The sequence below is a fragment of the Homo sapiens genome, chromosome X, assembly GCF_000001405.40.
Source record: "Homo sapiens chromosome X, GRCh38.p14 Primary Assembly".
In the NCBI taxonomy this organism is placed as follows: Eukaryota; Metazoa; Chordata; class Mammalia; order Primates; family Hominidae; genus Homo; species Homo sapiens.
In genome coordinates, this window is record NC_000023.11 from 141,852,671 (window position 1) to 141,875,498 (window position 22,828).

Sequence of the window (22,828 nt, forward strand, 5' to 3'; positions counted from 1 at the left end):
AAATTTCTTTCCACGTCTATTAAGATGATTGTTCTTTATTCTATTTGTTTGGTGTATTACATCAATTTCTTTTTGAATGTTAAGCTAATCTTGATTTCCTGGGATATATCCGATTTGGTCTTGTCATATTACTATTTTTGTATTGCTAGATTTTGTTAGCATTTTTGAGGATTTTTGAATATATAGTCACATGAGATATTGGTTTGTAGTTTTCTTTTCTTGTAATTTTTAAAATCTGGTTTGGTATTATAGAATGAGACAGGTAGCACTTCATCTGTTTCTACTTTACAAACTATTTTCTAAAAGATTCATGGTAATTCTGTTTTTAAATCTTTAGTGAAATTCACCAGTGAAGTCACTGGACCTGGGCTTTTCCTTGTGGGATTTCTTTATGACTAAATAAATCTCTTTATTTATTACAGGTCTATTCAGATTTCTATGTGTTATTTGTAATTCGAAAGGCAACCCTTGTGGTATGTGGTATGCTGACTACATCCGCCTTTTAAAAAGAGGGAAACAAAGGTTAAATTTCTTGCCCAAGCCTTTGAAGGTAATAAGTGGCAAAGCTAGGTTCCTGGTCAATCGTGCTCCAAGATGCATGTCAGTTTTTGAATCACACGCACTTCCACAGAGACTGATTAAAATTATGTATTCCCTTTGATATAGCCTGGGTGCTTTGAAGTAAATGTCTACTGGAAAACCAAACTCCGGGGAGTATTTTGGTGCAGATTGTGGACATCTTGTTAAAAGATTTAATTTGAGCCATTTTTGTTTATCTCTCCTCCATCTGGAAGTAATATTTTGGTAATGTTTTTATTTGCATCTTATCTAATGATTTATTTTTACTTTATATGGAATGGACAAACTGAATTCCTCCTGCTAAAGAAAATTATATTTTTCTGCTAAATTTATTTCTCTTTCTGAGACACTTGTTTTTATAAGACAGATTTCTGGACTTTCACTATGAAGAATCGAGAGATTAGGTGGCACATAAGAAAAGTGTTACAGAAAAAAAGAGAAAAGTAATTTTAAAAAATCATGCAGGGTAAGGTTTTGTGGGTGTTTTAAGGTGATGGTTTGAGAGGTAAGAGCTGAGGAAAGGCAAAGCGATGAGGAAAAGTGGTTATGATTAATTGAACCCCCTCTTATGTTTCCTGATAAACAGAAGTTAATGATTCTTTTTTTGCCAATAGACTAAGTGTATTTAGTTACAAGGCTAGTCCATGTTTGAACCATGAGGGTCCCAACTTATATTACCATCACACTCTTATCCCACAATAAGGATGTATGTGACTTTGCTTTTGTACATGTGCCAACCTTATATAAAAGGTGATAGTGGACTTGAATCTAGTTTGCATGGGACTAGATTGATTTAATCACTCATTAAGTTGGCAGATTATTTTGAGCCAATTTTGTTCTAAGCCCTGCGATAGATTATGGGTGAATAAGATAGTCATGATCTCTGTCTTTATGTAATTTATAGCCCAGGAAGGGAGATTGATATTTAATGGTTATTATATACGATAGATATTTAGTGGTTGCACACACACAGATGATTACAATTTATGGTATGTCCTATGAAGAGAAAGAAAAAGGAATTATGGGAGATAAACATTCTAGATGTAAGTTAAGTGGATGGGAGTGGTCAAGAAAACTACCTGTGAGGTAGTGATTTCAAGCTAAGACCTGAAATCTGAGTAGGAGTAACTAAGGTGATTGAAATGGTTTGGCCCTGTTTCCCTGCCTAAATCTCATCTTGAATTGTATTCTCATAATTCCTACATGTTGTGGGAGGGACCCAGTAGGAGATAATTGAATTGTGGGGGTGGTACCCCCATACTGTTCTCATGGTAATGAATAAGTCTCAGGAGATCTGATGGTTTGATCAGGGGTTTCTGCTTTTTCGTCTTCCTCGTTCTCCCTTTGCCTGCTGCCATCCATGTAGGATGGGACTTGCTCCTCCTTGCCTTCTTCCATGATTGTGAGGCTTCCCCAGCCACGTGGAACTGTAAGTCCAATTAAACCTTATCTTTTGTAAATTGTCCAGTCTTGAGTATGTCTTTATCAGCAGCCAGAAAACGGATTAATATGGTGATGAATGTTCCAGTCAAAAGATTCTGCATGTGGACAAGTCCAAAATTGGGAAAGAGTTGGTCTCTTTTGAGTAATTAAAGTCACCATGTAAAAATATACAACTGAAGAGGTAGGCAAGGGTGAGATCACACAGATAGTGTTAATAACTTTAAAAATATGTTATCTTGTGCTCACATGGGAGTTAGTCATAGGTACATTTGGGAACTAATTTCTTCATCTTTCCCTAACTGGAATTTTCAGACATTCAAGAGCAAAATATAAGTATTTCAGAAGACCAAGTTTAAGAACATCTAGATTTTGAGAGTGCTCACTCTCAGGAGCATATGTACACATTTGCTAAGTGGTAAGACAGGTAACACGGAAAAATTCACATTGTGTAGTTGGCTGTCCACTAATCCAACAGTGTGCAACTGACACTAGCCGGACAAGGTTATAGGTCTTTGGCTAGAAGATAGTTGTTTTTTTTTTCTGGATCAGCATGTTATCTACTGCTGTGCTCTATGCATTTTCCTCATTCAATTAGAAATTATATCTAGAATTATATCTAGAAAATCCTATTCAATCAATATTTTAAAACTACTAATCATTTATTCACTAAAACTAATAATGTATTAATAACTAATAGTCATTACCTTGTTAATTTTTCCCAAAACATTATTCAATAAGTTAGAAATACTTGTGAACTGAGACTACACTCAAGAACATCTAGACATTTTCATGTATCTTTCACAGCTATAATCTATATATATGATATAACATGTGTAGAAAGAATAAATGAAAAGCATATTTTATTTTGGTGAAAGTTTGAAAAATCAATACCTAACTGAAAGCTAGAAAAATGCACAGTTCCCAATATATCCTGCGACTCAGAATCTTAAGAAGGTTCCATTTTTAACCACGTGCAGGTTCAAAATGTAAGTAGCAACATTAAACTTATGCTTTTCATTTCACGAACCATGTATAAAACAGGTAGCTAAATTGAAAATAGTTAATTTTAGGTTTTATTGTATCATCTAACATCCATGCATGGGGAAAATAAGGCTTTGGAGTATTATCTTTCTTTCTATTCTCTTGTTTATTGGATTACATATTTTTCAGTAAGCATATTTGAAATAGAACTACAGGAGAAATTGAAAGAAACAAAAACAGTGCATCCAAGTTGGCGACTAGAACATCAATGGATGGCTTTTAAACTTCTAAGAAACCATCTGGAGCAATAACAGTATTGATCAGTATTCATCATAGTACCCAAGAAAGGCTAAAGGTGTCCAGGTTGTGATATAGATGGACATCAGACCTAACCCTTGATCTAATATTTCTGAGACATGTACCCATCATCTTGTGAACATGTGGCTGGATGAATCCATCTTTGTTAGTTGGCTTTGGTTTTTCATAACTTAGAAAGCGAAAGACAAGCCTAAGTAATATGCACACCGTGATGCTAGACAATGGAGCACATCCTTGTGAGGGAGTTGCATTGCCTGAAGTAAGGTGGCCATGACCACATGTGAGGCGAATTTAGTGCTACATAATTTAGGAGTCCTTCTTAAAACATCTCAAAGTTTTTCTACCAGAGCTTTAAAAAGTTTCCTAACAGGGGAAAATTTGCCATATTTGCAAAAAAGGATGGCCCTTTTCTATACTTTAATTCTGGATCCACTGAATGCTACCAACTGAGAGAGTCGGCTTTTTAAAATATTTAATGATTACTTTTAACTGACACACAATTATACATATTTATTGGGTACAGTGTGATATTTCAATACATGTGTACAATGTGCCATAATCAAATAAAGGTATATATCCAAAAAAAACTATATCAATATGTTGAAAAAGATTCTCATGTTCATTGCAGCATTATTCACGATAGCCAACATGTGGAATCAACCTAAGTGTTCATCAATAGGTGAATAGATAAAGAAAATGAGGTACTGACACATAATGTTATACTATTCAGCCATAAAAAGAAGGAAGTCCTGTTATTCACAGCAACATGGATGAGCCTGGAGGACGTTATGTTAAGTGAAATAAATCAGACACAGAAAGATAAATACTGCATGTTCTCACACATATGTGGAAGGGAGCAGTTTTAAAGCAAAAATTGTACCACAATTTGGCTTTCATTACAGGGAGAGAGAAAACAAGTAATTGCAAATGCAAACACCCTGACAAAGAAGAGAACTTCAGTGGATCTGTCCAGCATCCCTGAACGTTTCGGATGAGAAGTTCTTTGGAGAATTTCATGAGAGCCATGGACTCACTTGCCAGAAAAATTCATGCTGTAGAGGCAGCCATTAGTATATTCAGTAAAATCTGCATGTAATTTCAGGGGATCATCGACCCTTTTATGTGCTTAAATAAGCCCTTGTCTCCCAAGTTAAGAACTCTTGGACTAAATAATTATCACATTAGAATGTAATTGTGAAAAAAAAAAACAGGCTTTCAGAACTTGGCATTGATAAGGAAACTGGGCTCCAGAAATAGATCTGCTTATCTGTAAGTAGTGGCCCAAATCCACTGATTTTTGCCTACAGGTGCAAATTGATTAGCTAATCAAAGCTGCTTTTTTACTGTAGATTACCTTTAGAATTCTTTCCCAGCTTCCAGGATAACTGGGTCCCTTCAGTTCTCCACAAACCTCTATATTTTCCACATTTTCGCATCAGGTTTCTGTAGCACCCTGTCATGTTTGGAATATAAACCAAACTCCTTTCATGTCCTAGTAGTGTCTGCTTCTTCTAGTTCTTGTCCGTTTCCTGTATCCCCTGCTGTAACTCCCTCCTTCCTGCATGAAGCTTTAGTTATGGAAACGTTGCACAGCTTCTTGAACATGTCAGGCTTGTTCCTGCCTAAGAACTTGGATCCTTGCTGATCTTAATGCCTGGAATGTTCTTTCCTATACTCCAGATGACTCCACCCCACTTTACTCAAGTCTCTCCTCCAATGTTAACTACTCACAGAGCCTTTCCTTGACACCTGAAACACGCACCACCCTCACTCCATGAATATTTTCCTCACCTTGGTTTTTCTTTATAATACTTAAAACTCTCTGGTAACTATCTGGCTCATTTGCTAATTGTATTGCACTCCAGTATAATATGCAGTTCAAAAGAGTGAGAAATATTAACTGCTGTATTTTGAGCACCTCGAACAGAGTCTATCACATCATAGGTTCTTAATGCCTATATCTTGAAAAAATAAGTGTATGATGAATGAATACATGCATAGTAACTACTGTGATGGCCAGCATTAATTTACATAAATTAATTTGAGGGAGGATACTAATTTCCCATTTAAGGTGATAGTTACACTTTATATAAGTTATAACTTTATATACTTATAACTTATGCATATAAGTTAGTCTGGATATTTCATTGAATTATTACTCAATAGAGAATAAAGAACAATATCATTAAAGTTTGTTGTTACCAGAAAATGTCAGGATGCATGCAGCTTTTTTTGGTAAGATTAAATAATCCACATTTACAACTCAGATGGATTATCTGATGCTTCTTCAGCAAAGGAAGGGTCAAGTTTGTCTTGGGCTGAAAAATATTCGTTTAAGTAATTCCAGGTATCGGTTGTTTGCTCAAATCCACATGGAATTTAATGATTTAAGGTCATGGGGAAGCGCATTTTGTTACACTTCTAATTTAAGTGAGGGAATTATCTTATATGGGTGCCTTTCTCATATAATCAACAATCTCTAAAACCTCGTTTCTTACAAGTAATCGATTTTGTTTTATTTTTATGACTTTATTTTATTTACATACATAATTTTACATAAATGCATTATCTGTGCTCATATTCACATATTCATTTTTTAAAATTCTTCTTTATGTTGTTTGATTTCCAATTCTCCCAACTTAGCATCTGCCTGGTAACCCAAATATGTGTGTATGTATTTGTGAGATACATACACACACACCATGGAAGCCCTTGTTAAAAACCGAATACATATTACTGCATATTTATTTCTGCTCCCCACACATATATAAAACTATATATATAGTGTGTGTATGTTTGTGTGTGTGTATGTATATATATAACAACACACAACATACATACATTCATTCATAAATAATGAGTGTGGCTGGGTTTTTTGGGGGGTTTATTTTTAAAAAATGAAATATTATCCTACACATTTTCCTGCATTTGTAGTTTCTCAGATTAGCCTAGCTTGTGGAAATTCTTCCAGTCACCTTGTGTAACTCTAATTCATTATTTTAATAGCTATATAATATTCCATAGTATGGTATATTACAAGTCATATGACTAACCCCAAATGAATGACCATTCGCTTTGTTTCTGTCTTTTTTTTTTTTCAAATTAACTTCCAAGACATCCTCGGGAACCCTAGAGCATTTTGTACCTATGAGACAGATTCCTCTGAATTAGTTTGCTAATAAGTGAGGGTTGTATCTTTCTATATTAATAAGTGTTATCAGATAGCTTTCCAAAAAGATTTTAGTGAATTGTGTATCTATTCTATTTGAAAGTTTCCTTTTGATTTGTATTTCCACCAAGCGCTGTCATTACTGATTATTTAATTGTTTGATGAGTGTAAAGTGATATCCATATTGCTTTAACTTGCATATCCCTGACTACTAATGAGTCTGAACATGCTTGCAGACTGTTTAGATTTACTTTTTTGTGAATACCCTATACATATCTGCTCACTACATTTTTATCTATTGAATTGGTTTTTATTAGCATCAGTAGGAGACCTTGGACATTACAGATATTAATCTTTTGTCCGTTATCTGTATTTTAAAAATATATATTCCAAAACACTTCTGATGCTACCAAAATGGCATAGCACCATTTATCTCATATCCTCCACCTTACAACTTAAAAACCCTGCACGTAACATTTCAAACAAACATCAAGTGACTCTAAAAGGTGGAATAAAGAAGGTAAACTACAGAGGGATTTAGGACTTAAGGAACAACATGACAGTGAGTTTTGGGGGTTTTCTTATTGTCTCCCCTATATCCCAGATAGGGCACTGCAGACATTTCCAACCCAGAGCTGTCAACAAAAAAGACAAAATTATCTTCCAAGGAAAACCTATTTCCCAAAGCCAAAAGAGAAGGAACGGCTTGGCCTAATGACAGAAAAGCTTTTTGCAATACGTGTCCTATTCTAGCCAAACATGAAAAGACAAAGCTCAATAACCTCTTCTGCCCTTCCCTCCTACCACTTAGTTTTATCAGGGAGGACTGGGAATATGATCTCACATCCCCTCTATTGCTGAAACTGCTGGTATTCAGATTCCCTTGTCAGGGTAATGCTGTCAAGGCTTAGCAGGGAGTTAGCCTTCCATCTCTACCTGGCAAAAGCAGGCAACAGTTTTCCTAAAGGATGGTGTAGATGAGCCTAGCAGAGAGCTGATCTTCCATCCCCCAGTTGGCAGAGGTAGGATGTGCTCTGATTCCCCTACCAGGGTAGTGTGAGCAGGATCCAAAGGCAAGCCAATCCAGTTCCATCACACTGATGACACTAATCTAGACAGTTCAAAACAAGTATAGTTGGCACTTTGCTCCCTCTTGATTCGAATAAATGGAAAGACAGCTTATGTTTATAAACATAAAATGATACAGTTTATGTGGAATAAAGTTTAATGGTTTCACAAAAAATTAAACATAAAATTGCCATGTGATCCAGTAATTCTACTTCTGAGTATATATCTAAAAGAAGTGAAAATGGCAACTCTAACAGATATGTGTACACCCACATATATAGCAACATTATTTCCCAAAGCAAAAATGTGGAAACAACCCAAATGTCTGCTGAAAGATGAGTGAATAAACAAGATGTGGTACAGACAACCCGTAGAATATTGTTCCTCCTTAAATATGAAGGAAATTCTGACACACTACAACATGAATGAACCTGGAAGACATTATGCTAAATTAAATAAACCAATCATAAAAGGACAAATACTTTATAATCCTACTTATGTGAGGTATCTAGCATAGACAAATTAAGGCAGACAGAAAGTAGAATGGCAAATGACAAGTTGTAGGAGTGGTGGTGGGGAATGTGGAGTTGTTTAATGGATAAAGAGTGTCAGTTTGGAATGCAAAGTGGTTCTGGAAGTGGATGGTGGTGATGGTTGCATAACAATGTGAATGTACTTAGTGCCATGGAACTGTATACTTAGAAATCATAGCATTCGCAGCAACCTGGATTGAGTTGGAGACCATTTGTAATAGTAAAATTGTTATTATATATATTTCACCATAATTAAAATGTCTTTATTTGTAAAAGTACAAAGATAATTTTGAAACTTTATATTTAAAGAAGGAATGTATGGATGTGATCTGGCCAGATGGATTTAATGCCTTGGATAGATATGATGAGCAAAGATGTCTATTGATTTTGGTATGTCTAAGGCCATCCGAGGACGCTAGATACACTGAATTGAAAGGGTATTAAAATTATGTCATTAAAATGGAGGTAAAAGATCTTTACAAGAAAAAAGATCTCTACAAAACATGTCAAAAATAATTGCAAAGGACACAAAGAAATGGAAAGACATCCCATGCTCATGCACCAGAAGAATTAATATAATTAAAATAACCATACCTGCCAAAGAAATCTACAGATTCAGTGCAATTTCCATCAAAATATCAATGCCGTTTTTCACAGAATTAGAAAAAAAATATGAAAATTTGTATGGAGCCAAAAAAGAGCCACAATAACCAAAGTAATCCTCAGCAAAAAGAGAAAAGCTGGAGGCGTAACACTACCTGACTTCAAAATATTGTATAAGCTATAGTAACCAAAACAGCATGGCATTGATATAAAAAGTAGACACAATGGAATGAAATGAAAAACCCAAAAACAAATCCATATATTTACAACCATCTGATCTTCAACAAAGCCATCAAGAACATACACTGGGGAAAGGGCAGCCTCTTCAGTAATGGTGCTGGAATATGTGGATAACCAGATGCAGAAGAATGAAACTGGACTCCTACTTTTTACCATATACAAAAATCAACTTGAGATAAGACAACTGAAGATTTTACTTAAAGGTAAAACCTGAAAGTATAAAACTACTGGAAGAGAATAAGGAAAGCTCTTCAGAACATTGGTCCAGGCAAAGATTGTATGGCTAAGATTTCAAAAGCAAATGCAACAAACACAAAAATAGGCAAATGGGACTATATTACACTAAAAAGTTTCTGCTCAGCAAAGGAACCAATAAACAAAGTGAAGAGACAATTCCCTTCCTTGAAAGGAAGAAAATATTTGCAAATGATTTATCCAACCAGGGACTACTACTGAGCATATATCAGGAAGTCAGACAACTCAACAATTTTTTAAAATCCCATTAAAAAGTAGACAAATGACACGAATACACATTTATCCAAAAAAGACATACTAATGGCCAACAAGTATGGGAAAAATGCTTAATATCTCTAAGCATCAGGTAAATACAGATCAAAACCCCAATGAGATATTATCTTACCATAGGTAGAATGCCTATTATGAAAAGACAAAAAAAAATCAGATGCTGGTGAGGATGTGGGAAAAAGGAAACTCTTATACACTGTTGTGAGAATGTAAATCAGTACAAATGCAATGGAAAACAGTATTGCTATTTCTCAGAAAACTGAAAAAAAGAACTATCATATGATCCAGCAAATCCACTACTGGCTATTTATCCAAAGGGAAAGGAATCAATATATCAAAGGAATACCTGCATATTCATGTTTACTGAAGCACCATTCACAACAGCAAAGATACAGATTCTACCCAGATGTCCACCAAGGGAGAATGGATAAGGAAAATGTGGTATATATCCACAATGGAATATTATTCTGCCATGAAAAGAAAGAAGTTTTATTTGCAGCAACATGGATGGAACTCCAGGTCTTTATGTTAAATGATGTAAACCAGGCACAGAAAGACAAATATCACATGTTCTTACTCATATGTGTGAGATAAAGTGTTGATCACATGGAGATAAAAAGTGGAATGACGGACACCAGAGACTGGGGAGTGTGAGTGAATGGTTTCAGCAGGGGTTGGGGTGGTGAAGAGAGGTTGGTTAGTGGGTACAAACATACAGTTAGGTAGAATTAATAGTTTCTAATGTTGACTGCAGAGCAGGGTGATTGTAGTAACAGCAATGTATTGTAATTTTCAAAATAGCTAGAAGAGAGAGCATGAAATGCACCAGCACATAGAAATGATAAAAACTTGGGTCACAGATATCCCAAATACCCAGACTTGTTTATTACACATTCTATACATGTAACCAGATTTCACATGTACCCCATAAATAAGTACATATATTTTTATAGCAAAAAAACTTAAAAATGATTCTTAAAAATCTTGAAATTGCAGAATCTGAGAAATGGATATACGGAGTTTCACTACTACCTTATCTATTTTGTTTATTTTAAAAAATTATTTATAAAGGTTTTTAAAGTGTGAAAAAATCCTACAGAGTATATCATACCAAATCTATGATATTCTAGAACAAGCAAAACTATAGAGACAATGCAAGGATAAGTTGTTGTTGGAGGTTCGTTGGAAGGAGGAAGAGGGATGACTAGATGGGACACAGGGGCATTTTAGGACGGTGAAACGATTCTATGTGATACTGTAAGAGTGGATACATGACATTATATATTTGTCAATATCTACAGAATGTAAAACAAAGAATGAACCCTAGCTAAATTGTAAATTTTAGTTAATAATAATATATTAACATACATTCATCAATTGCAGTACGTGTACCACATTACAAGATGTAAACAATATGGAAAACTGTGGGGAGGTTAGTGGATATGTGAGAACTCTGTATTTTCTTATCAATTTGTTTTGGTAAAACATAATAATATTCTAGAACATAAAGCCTATTCATTTTAAAATATGCAAGGTATTTGAAAATACACTTCAATAAAAAAGATATACAGATCACAAAATTATATGAAAAGATGCTCAGCATAATTTATCCTTGGGGAAGTGCAAATTAAACCACAATAAGATTCTACTACATACTAATTAGAGTGGCTAAAAATCCTAAAATATCAGATATAAGAGATAATGTGAAACAAAAGGAACTACTCTCATTTATTGCTGGTTGGAAAAAATATATAGCACTCGTTCGATGAAAGCATTGTATTATCTGATTTATAGACATTCCAAAAAAGGTAAAAAGATACGAAAAACAGATCACCATTACTAGGGACTTGGAGGAGGCTGTTAGTTGACTACAAAGGTGAGGCATAGGGGATTCAACCCAAATTGCTGTGCATGTCAATAGTTGATTCCTCCTTGTTGGTCTATAGAATTCCATTGTGTGGATGCACCTCAATTTGTTAATCCATTCACTTACAGAAAGACATTTCATATTTTTCAGCTTTTGGAAGTATGAATAGAGCTACTATAAACATTCATGTATAGGTTTCTGGCCTGGGCATGGTGGCTCACGCTTATAATCCCAGTGCTCTGGGTAGCTGAAGCAGGAGGATCTCTTGAGCCCAGGAGTTCAAGACCAGCCTAGGCAACATAGTGAGACCTCATCTCTACAAAAAAAAAAAAAAAAAAATTAAAATGAAAAAAGATAATAAAAATGAATGTACAGGTTTTTGTGAGAACATAAGGTTTGCAAATTTATTTCACACAGTAATGGTATTTCTGAGTCATATGGTAAGTGTATGTTTATAATGAGATCATGTTCTTTGCAGGAACATCGATGGGGCTGTAGGCGATTATCCTTAGGAAACTAACGCAGGAACAGAAAACAAAATACTGCATGTTCTCACTTATAAGTAGGAGCTAAATTATGAGAACACATAGATGCACAGAGAAGAACAACACACAGAGAAGCCTGTTGGAGGTTGGAGGATGGCAGGAGGGAGAGGATCAGGAAAAATAACTAATGGGTACTAGGTTTAATACCTGGATGATGAAATAATCTGTACAACAAACCCCCACAACACAAGTTTACCCATGTAACAAACCTGCACATGTGCTCCTGAACTTAAAATAAATTTAAAAAAAAGAAGTCTGGGGGAAATAAAAGAAATTTCCAGATAGTGACTGCACAATTTTACATTCACACAGGAAACACAATAGTGTTCAAGATGCTCTTCATCCTTGCTAGCAGTTAGTAATGTCAGTGGATTTTTCAGCAGTCCTCAAAAATATGATGCATCTACCTTGATTTTAATTTGTTTTTCTGTAAAATCTAATGATGTAGGATAATTTTTCAGGTGCTTATTTAACATTTGTATGTCAATTTTAGAAAAGTGTCTATTGGTGTATTTTGCCCATTTTGAAAATGTTTTCTAATTTTTGGATTTTGAAAGCCCTTTCTGTATTCTGGATACAGGTGCTTTTTGGATATGTAATTTATAAATTTTTTTTCAACCTGTTGTTTGACTTTTTCTGCTCTCAACAGTGTCTTTCTCAAAACTAATTTTTAAAATTATTGAGGATGTCTGATATATTGTTTCTTTTTGAATTTTGGTTTTATTTTTGAGGCATCTTTTCCTAATTCCAAGTCATAAGATTTACCTTATATTTTCTTATAAAATTTTATACTTTTTAATTTGACATTTTTTTTCTCTAATTGCTTTCACTCATCAAGGGAAAGACACTAAAGAAGAATAGAGTAGATCTTCCATCACAGGTAGAGGTTGCCCCAGCCTAGTCCTGCCCCTGATATTTGACCTGAGTAGCCCCGGAAAAAGGCCACAGATAAGGACTATTCTGCCTTTCATCTTGGGCATCTGAGGGAGGTGAGGCTTTTTCTGAGGGGTGGAACTTCAGATCAGCGAATGGATAGTCTTGTCCTCTGCCCCACATACTTCAAGGTAAGGACTCTAAGGAAAGACTGAGGGGACCTCCTGCCACAGATATAGGGAGTTTTAGCCCTGCCCTCCCTGTGCTGTTAGCCCTGGGTGGCCCAAGGCAGGTTTCCCCAGTTTTGATGTCCGTAGACTTCATTTTTGGGGCCTGAGGGAGGTGAGGCTTCCTCACCTTAGACTCAAGTCAGCAGAGAGAGAAGTTCCAGCTCCAGCATGCATTAAGGTGAGAATGCAGAGAAAGGACAAAGATAGCCTTCCTCTATAGATGGACTGAGCTTCAAAGAACCTTCCTCTTCGTGTGAATCCTGAGAGGTCCCATGCATGGGTATCAGGTAGCAACAACTCTCCCTATCCCCTGACATCCTTTTAGAGGATTTCATGGAGGTGATATCCTTGGTGTGAGGAAGCCAGCCTCAAGTCAGCAGAAGGGCCGGGGTGAAGACCCTGATCAAGAGTAAATATGATTACCTTGAGAAATTGAGAAGTACACAGGGACCTCACAGAATCCAGTCCGTTTCCACTCTTAGCCCTGGGAAGAAAAGATTTTTAAAATTGAGGAAGTCTAATATATCATTTTCTTAAATGAATCATGATTTAGTTTCAGGTATTACATCTCTTCGCCTAAGTCCAGTTCAAAAGATTTCCTCCTATGTTTTCTCATAAGTTTTATAGCTTCTAATTTAATTATAATCCATGGAGCTGTAATCCATGTTAAAAAAATTTTTATATTAAGTATGCAATTCAGGTAAATTTTATTTTATATTTTTGCATGTGGATGTCCAGTTGAACTCATAGCACTGATTAAAATACCACTTTACACACATTTAATTGTCAAAAAGTAGAAAAACAAACAATATCAAGTGCTGATGACAATGTGAAAAAACAAAAACACTCTTGTAGTGCTAATAGAAATGCAAGCTAGTGCAACCTTTTTGGAAAGCAATCAAGCCTACAGCGCTTGTACTCTACAACTTTGTAATTTCCTTCCTGGATATAGGCCCACAGAAACTCATATAAATGCACAACGAAACATGTAAATGAATATTAATTGAGCATAATTTCAAAGAGTAAAAAGTAACCACTAGGGGATTTCATAAGTAAAATGAAGTAACACATAAAAAAGGAATTTATCCAGGTATCTGATAAATAAACCAAATCTATATGCTGCAATGAAAATGAAGCTCAAATAAGGCTTACCTTCAAAATAAGAAATGAAGCAAGATTTCTGACCAAATACTACTTCTGTACATTTAACACACACACACAATAATATTACATACTTTCACGTATGCGTAAATTAATATATGAATAGTGAAATAGACATTCACAAAACAAGCAAGAATGGGTGCCTTTGAGTGAAGGACAATAGCCAAGGGAGGTTAGATGAAGAAGAGAGAAAGTGATGAAATAAAATATAAACAAAAGAAAGGTTTTCAGAAAAAAAAAAACCACCACTAATTTTCTCAATTCAGTTGTCTTGAGACATTTGTAAACACTGAATGGACCTCACTGGGGCCTTCCTTTGGATTATCTCTTCTGTTCCATTAAAAAAAAATCTATCCTTTAACCAATGCCATACTTTCTTTGTTATTACTGTAGCCTTACAGTTGTAAGAATCAAAGAAAGAAGAAAGAAACAGGAAAGGTGGCTTGACAGCTAAAGACAGATTTATTAACTTCACCTTCATACAGTGGGCCCCAGTAAAACAATGGGCCTTAATAAGCACATTCCTTTCCCTTCAGGTGCACTAAGAGAAGTTAAAAGCAGACTCAGGGAGTATGCCTGCAGCTGCAGGAAGATGTATGGGAACAGACCCAAAATTCTCCCTCCCAGATAAGCACAACAAAGAAACACAGAGGCAGTCCAAGTCTCTGATAAACTCTCCCGCCCTAAATCCTTAAAAACTCTTAGTCTGTAAAAACAAAACAAAACAAACAAACGAAAAGAGTGCCTCTAACCTAACTTGCCCAAAAACCCCTCTCGGGTGTATTTTTCTAAAATAAAACTGGAAAGGCCTATGCATTATTTTTTGTTAGTAACTGTTACTGCTGCTATGAGGATAATAATTGAGCAAAATGTTATAGTAACTGAGATTTTCTGTCTGATATTTTACCTTGAGGGTGTTACAGTATATAGTCCTCCTGCAAATAGTAGAGTGAGTAAAGCAATTCCTGCAAGGGTTGCATAGTAAATAATTTTTATTAAAAATGTTTTAATATTTGGCTTAAAAGGAGAGGTAGAGGCTGGGCATGGTGGCTCACGCCTGTAATTCCAGCACTTTGGGAGGCCAAGGCGGGCGGATCATGAGGTCAGGAGATCCAGACCATCCTGGCTAACACGGTGAAACCAAATCTCTACTAAAAATACAAAAAAATTAGCCAGGAGTGGTGGTGGGCGCCTGTAGTCCCAGCTACTTGGGAGGCTGAGGCAGCAGAATGGTGTGAACCCGGGAGGCGGAGCTTGCAGTGAGCCGAGATGGCGCCAGTGCACTCCAGCCTGGGCGACAGAGCGAGACTCCGCCTTCAAAAAAAAAAGGAGAGGTAGAAATGAAAAAAAGTATTTGGTGAGGTAGGGGTGAGATTGAGTAAAATGGGTAATTTTTACTCCATTACTTATTTTTTATGATTTTCAGCTTAAGATTTTTTATTTATTTACATTAATATTTAGGACTTTTTCTGGGCTGTTAGGGGTTGCTTTCTTAGCTTTTTAGGCTTTGATTTGAGTGTGATGTATCCAGGAGTTAATTTCTGTAACAGATATAGTTTAAACTGTAGCAAATAATAAAAATTGAAAAACATTAGGCCAGACTAGAATTTAACAACAGGTGAGCTACAGTTTTTGAAACATAATTTTCCTTTTTCAGTTTCCCATTTTTATTAAAAGACAAATTATGGTAGGATTGATTTGCTTTATTATACTTGGCTTAATTATTTATATACAGTGCAGCAAGAATTTGCTACTAGACCTTTTAAATTGGCTTTGATGGAACTTTGTTTCATGGAAGGAATTTGAGATAAGACTTTTAAAAGCCAAGCCTAGCCATGGATTTGTACCATTAAATACCTATGAGTTGGGCAAATTTTTTTTCTTGAGGTTCTAAGATCACTTGGGATTCCTGGCCTGTTAGAAAGTGACATTCTTTACTTACCATAGATTAGAAACTCTGTACAGGGACTGTGTACACAAAATACGAGGTCGATTTTTCAAGGGTTTTATTGGCTATATAAGTTCTTTGATTTTTTTTAAAATTTTTATTTTATTTATTTATTTATTTATTTATTTATTTTTATTTTTATTTTTGACATGGAGTCTCGCTCTTTCACCCAGGCGGGAGTGCAGTGGTGCTATCTCGGCTCACTGCAAGCTCCGCCTCTCGGGTTCACGCCATTCTCCTGCCTCAGCCTCCCGAGTAGCTGCGACTACAGGTGCCCGCCACCCCACCTGGCTAATTTTTTTTTGCATTTTTAGTAGAGATCGGGTTTCACCGTGTTAGCCAGGATGGTCTCGATCTCCTGATCTCGTAATCCACCTGCCTCGGTCTCCCAAAGTGCTGGGATTACAGGCGTGAGCCACCGCGCCCGGCCAGTTCTTTGATTTTTTAAAGGAGAGCATACCATTCCAGTTAAAGCCTTGGTAAAATAACCAGTTTTTTTTTTAATTGTGTTCTGTTACAAAAGAAAACAGGTTCTTATTGTGCTTATGCAAACAACTATATTGTTGTAATGTAAGAATACTTACAACTAGTTTTTAAATTTTAGAGGAACTAGGCAGAAAGAAACAAACAACCTTTAAATTCACTTTACAGGAGTATACTTTGCTTAGTTGTTAAAGGCTGTAGCTAGCTTAAGACAAGTTTTCTTGACTTTGAAAAGTAAAATAAGGATTAGCAGTGTTTTAAGCAAAAGGTAAAACTTGTTTCTGTTTTTTATTAGTTTAGTCCATTTTATTAACTTTTGTTTTGCTTGATATTTATAAACATTTTAGCTGTTCATGAGTTCTGTACATTTTTTGTTGTTGTTGTTGTGAGAAACCTCCATTTGAGAGCACTTGCTAAGGCGACACAGCTTGATTATAAATCATGTTTTGAAGAGAATTAAAAGAAAATAACGATTGTCTGTAAATAACAAAATGTCTAGTTTGGATACAATTAGAAACACAACTGACAAAGAAATTTGGTTATTTCTGTGGTTTACAATAACCTAACATAACAACTTTAATTATGATTAATAGCACATATTTGGACACGAGAACTTTAGACATACCATACAGTTTTGGAACATATATTATTATTCCCTAAAATATAACCTATTAGACATCATTTTTGCAATTGTATCTACCTAAGCATGTTAAATAATTCTGTTTACCTCTTTTCCAGATGCTTCAGGGGCCCTGTGCAGTACCCAAAAGCCAGGGGTTAGGAAAGACAACCTTGACACTAAAGTTTGATTTTGGGAAGCGTATTAAATATGTTTAAAATTTAAAACACTTGACATTATGAAATAGAATTTTAGATCACCCTAAGTTGGTTTTTGTTAGTTTGTTTTGTTTTGCCAAAATGATGAGTTAAAAATTTGGAAAAGCAAAACCCATTTATTAGCCTTTTTATTACATGAAAATCCTGTTTAAGAGAGAAAGTTAAATTTTACCCTTGCATTAGTTTGCTAGTAACGTTAACCTGAATTTTAATGAAACCTTATAGACAATCCTGTTTAATTTTAACCAGTTTGACCATGAAGTGCGATTTTTATATACCTGTTAAGACCCTTGACAAGTTTTGCTAAAGAGTAGATTAGCATTTTAAGAAAACTTTGTGGTGCTTTAATTTTAGTGTTTAATTTACAGAAAAAAAACCCATATAATACCCTTTTGAGTTTAGTTAATATGTTTACACAGGTTTTTTTTGCAAGATTAATTTTTACAATGTTTTTATAATTTGCTGAAACCATTCACTTTATTTTATTTAATTTTAAGACTTTTTTATTCTTAAGAAAAATGTGTATTTTTATGCCTTCTTATAATTTTTAACTAAAAACACTTTTTACTGTTTTTATACACCTTGCACCCAAATCCATGTTTAGTAGCTTTAATTACATGTTATAATGGTAACTTTTAGCAATTTTTAACTTTCATGTATAACCTGTTAAGTTTTTTAAATTATGTGCTAGATGCAGATGAAGTTGGACTTTTTCCAGCATAGTTAGGGGCATGGTTACTTCCATACCTGTCTGGCCTTACCAATTGTGACACAGGCAAGTTGACAGTTTTTAAAGGCCAAAGAAGCAGGTTACAACCTTGAAACATTTAGCAAACCTAATATCTGACCTGCATAATGTAGACCACATTTTTACACCTTGAAGACATTAGTATTTTACCAATAATTCCTAAGACTGTTTTTATTTTTAAATATTAAAGTTAGGTGAACTAAAAGGTACCACAACTTTTATTTTTGCCTTAAAGATGTTTGATTTAAGCACTTATTTTTCTTAGGCCAATTAATTAAAGCTTTTTTTAAATAGACATTGCACACATAACACATATATAACCACACGGGCAACAGAAGAAGATCTAGTAGTTATAAGATTTTTTATTTGGTAATTTCCCAATTGGATTATTGGCCTTCAGGTGAGGCCCTTTAAGAACAGAGCTAGGAATACAGTTTCCAGGGCCTAATAAACAAGCATAGATTGAAGACAAAGACAGATTTCGAGAGGTACTTATTTACGTCTAATTCCAGGGATTCCATAAGGAAAACAGAGATTTTTTTTCCAAAATGGGATTTGTGATGCCTTTTCTGTTTTCCCAAGGAGTCCCAGGCCACCAGAAGTCATTTTAGGGTTTCTTATGCATGCACCAAGAGTGTGGCAAGACAGAGTGGAGAGAAGTAATTCAGATGGCTGAGGGAAAACGTTTTCCAGGAAAACAAGATTTATGAAGAGATAAAGGTCTTTTGAATATAATTATAGCTTGGATATCCATTTTAATTAAGCTGAGCACTCTTTTTTAACAGGCGGAGGTTAGAATTATATAAATGTTATGCCAAGTTAAATTAAAGGATTAGGTTATGTGCAGGAATTCCCTGTGAAAAGGAGAGGGATTTTCAGAGAAAGAATCCAGATGCTGTTTGATTTGTGACAGATTAGACATGGAGAAAGGGACATGATTGTGAGCAATGCCTTTAAATCTAGCCACTTCCCAGAGAGGGAGAATGGCAGGGGTTGTCTGACTGGCTGGAGTAGTTTTTGAATGGGTAACAGGTGGAGAAGTAGGAGGGGCAAGGTTAGGGGCTAAAGGCTTGGGGACAGGAGGGGCTGCTGGGGCAGAGGGTTCACACGGGCAATGAGCGGGTGCAGGGGGTTGAGAATACAGAAGGGGTTCATCTGCAGGGTTGAAAGGAATTTTGGAGAAAGGGGTTTTAGGGGAAGGAGAGACCTGGGGAGGATTTTTATTAAGAAGAAGGATTTTATGAGGGGTGAAAGCTTGACATAGGGAGGGTCAGGATTTAAGGTAAAAATAAAAAAGGCTGAAAATAGAGAACCTCTTGCCATTTGCCATTCCTCGTTATGAAGTTGGTAAGGTCCCTGATAGTATGAACATTAAAGGTTTCATTTTTGGGCCATTGGCTGTCGTTATCTAATCTGTATTGGGGCCAAGCCATTTTACAGTAGAAAATTAAACGCTTTGGCTTTAGGGTCTCCGTAAACCAAGTTTGGTGAGGTTGCAAAGAAGACAGCCCAGAGGGAAGGACGTAGGAATGTGGGATTGTTTGTGACCCATGTGAGCTGGTGAGAGGAGGCCGAGGGTGTCTGTTTTGTTCTAGGCATCCCCAGACAGAAGACAGAGACCCAGAATCCTCTTTCTGAAAGAGGACAGTTAATCTGAGAAGAAACTGCACATCCCCAAGATTTCCTCTAGCTTAGTCCCACTGGTTCTCTGAGGACCAGGATGGCAGGCCAGACTTTCTCAGGTACCAGGAGAAAGCCAGGAGAAGGCAAATTTTACCAGCCGGCTGAATTAGTGTCCGATGTTGGATGTTCCAGTTGGAATTGGTAAAGGGCCTCCTAGACTGGAGCCACATGAGGAGGAGAGAGAGAGAGAGAAAGACGGAGGAAGAAGGAAGAGGGAGCAAGGGTTAGGGAGTGAAATATCCACTGCAGGTCATTGGTGGTGGAATCTTGAGACCTGAGGGTTTTGAGAGTCCACTGGGGAGTAGCCCCGGCCTGAGCCTCACAGTCCCCTTCAGGTTAGTTGTCCTCCTCACGCAAATCACTTGAAAAGTGAAGTGAGAGAAAAGATGGGGTGGGTGGCTAGAGACCCTCAGGATCCAGGAGTTAACTCAGGATGAACTGCCATTGCCCACTGCTTCTTGGGTTGCAAGAGAGCCTTTGCCCCCAACACCCATCCTGGGTTTTGGCACCAAATGTAAGAATTAAAGGAAAAGGAAAGAAACACAAAAGGTGGCTTGACAGTCAAGGCACATTTATTTTAGGGAAAACAAACCTGAGAGGAGCTTCTGGCCGAGTTAGGTGAGAGGCACTCTTTCTTACAGACTAAGAGCTTTTAAGGATTTAGGGTGGGAGAGGTTATCAGAGGCTTGGACTGCTTTTGTGTTTCTTTGTTGTGCTTATCTGGGAGGGACAGTTTTGTATCTGTTCCCATACCTCTTCCTGCAGCTGCAGGCATACTCCCTGAGTCTGCTTTTAGCTTCCCAATCTTAGTGCACCTGAAGGGAAAGGAATGTGCTTATTAAGGCGCACTGTTTTACTGGGGCCCATTGTATGAGGGTGAAGTTTGGCAGTTACCTAAGATACTCCCACCTCCTCCACCACCACCCCAACACCCATACCCAAGCTGTTTTATCTGTGTTTTACTGTCTGCTCTTTCTGGCTGCTTGTTGTCAAAAGAGAAGTGATTTCCTTGAAATGCATGAGGCTAGAAAGGGAGCTGGAACTTAAAGTGGCGATGTTTGTCCAAGATGACAGTGCTCCTGCTCTGTCAATAGTAAATAATATAATTGGGTTGTGTGATTCCTCCAACTTCACTGTCTTTTTAAAAATTGTTTTAGAAACCTAACACAGTAGGCACAAGGTCTGTATAAAGAAAACTATAAGACTCTAATGAATGGAATGAAGGGATATTCAATTTTCAAGGATAGAAAGACTCATTATTGTCAAGATGTCAATTCTAACTTGATCTATAGATTGCCTAAAATCCCAGTCAAAATCCTAGCATGTTGTTTTGTGGATACCAACAAACTTATTTTAAGGACTAAAATATGTTTTATGTGGAAAGGCAAAAGACTAAGATTAGCCAACACAATATTAAAGAAGAAGACAGTGGGAAGACTAACACTTCCCAACTTCAGGTCTTACTATAAAGTTACGATAATTAAGACAGTGTGATATTAAAGAAATAATAGACAAAAAAGTCAAAGAAATGCAATAGACATCCCAGAAATAGACCTACAGAAATATAGTCAACCAACTTTTGACAAGGAATCAGAGGCATTTAAATTAAGAATAATCTTTTCAGCTAATTATACCAGAACAAGTGGACATCCACATGGAGAAAATGAAGTTAGGCACAGACCTTAAACTCTTCACAAAAGCTCACATAAATTCAATCACAGACCTAAATGTGAAAATAAAATTTTAAAAAACCTATGAAACACATAGAAGATACCACAGGGGAAAACCTAAGTAACTATGGTTCGAGAAAACTTCTTAGATACAACCCAAAAAGGAACATCTGTGAAAGAAAAAATTGATAAGTTTGGCTTCATAAAAATGAAAAAATTCTGTTAAGAGAACAAAAAGGAAAAACGAGAAACGAGGATAAAAGTTTTGCAAAAAAAATCTGACTGAAGATGTGTATCAAAAATATATTCAGAACCCTCAACTCAATAACAAGAAAGCAATCCAATAAAAATGGACAAAAGATCTGAGTAGATACACACTACACCAAAGAATATATACACATTGCAAATAATCATGTAAAAAGATGATTAGCATCTTATGTCACTAGGGAATTACAAAGTAAAACAGGATACCACTACACATCTTTTAGAGTGGCTAAAATCAAAATGCCTGAAAATTTCAAACACTCAACAGGAGGCTGAAGAACAGGTACCCTCAGTCATTGCTGATTTTAATTTGAAAAAAAAATACACTCACTCTAGAAACAGAATTGTATTATTCTATGCATTTTAAATCTGGAAATGGTAAAAAAAAAAAAAGTAGATAAAGAAAACACACTAAACACACTGTTTTTGCTGTGATTTGGGTAGGGGGTGGTGGTTGACTATCAAGGTGAAGCAAGAGAAATTTTAGGCTAAAAGAAGGGATCTCTATGACATTTTAGTGGTAGATGTAAGACTCTATATTTGCTATGATAAATAAAAATGTTCATTATAGTGAACGCTGATCTATACAAAGTTTTAAAAATCAGCCATGCATTGGGTTTTCAAAAGGATGCTGAGAAAAGAATGGATTTTACAGGACTGAATGTGAAAGGAGAGGCACCAGCAAAAGAGGGTTTGTCTTAGTCTAGGTGAGAGATGAACCACAGAGGTAGTAATGGAGATCAATTGAAGTGGAGGGACTTCACATGGGTTTTAGAGGTTGGGGTAACAAATGCTGCTGTTGGATTTGATAAAAATTGAGAGAAAGGGAGGCATCAAGTATATCAAAACATGTGCCACCTATAGCAAAAAAGTCACATTGAGCTATTATTTTTTAATAAGTTGTCAGCCCTCATGTTTATTTTATAACTTCTCTGAACCACACACAAATGCTCCTTCTTCCTTGAACTCAGGGAATGCCCTCCCCTCCCCCAAACCTGTGCGCAAAACATCTATATTCATGGCAACTATGGTAAATCTTCGGTGACAGAGGCAGCATGTT

At 36.1% G+C, this 22,828-nt stretch overlaps 1 protein-coding gene across 1 annotated transcript in view; it reads left to right on the forward strand.

The window, feature by feature from the left end:
* The window catches only part of MAGEC3 (MAGE family member C3), a 59,517-nt gene that overhangs the window by 14,355 nt on the left and 22,334 nt on the right, over nt 1–22,828 (forward strand). Inside the window, exon 2 of the mRNA NM_138702.1 lies at nt 12,801–12,935. Within this exon, the coding sequence (NP_619647.1) occupies nt 12,801–12,935 (135 nt within the window). The remainder of the gene's footprint in view (nt 1–12,800; nt 12,936–22,828) is intronic.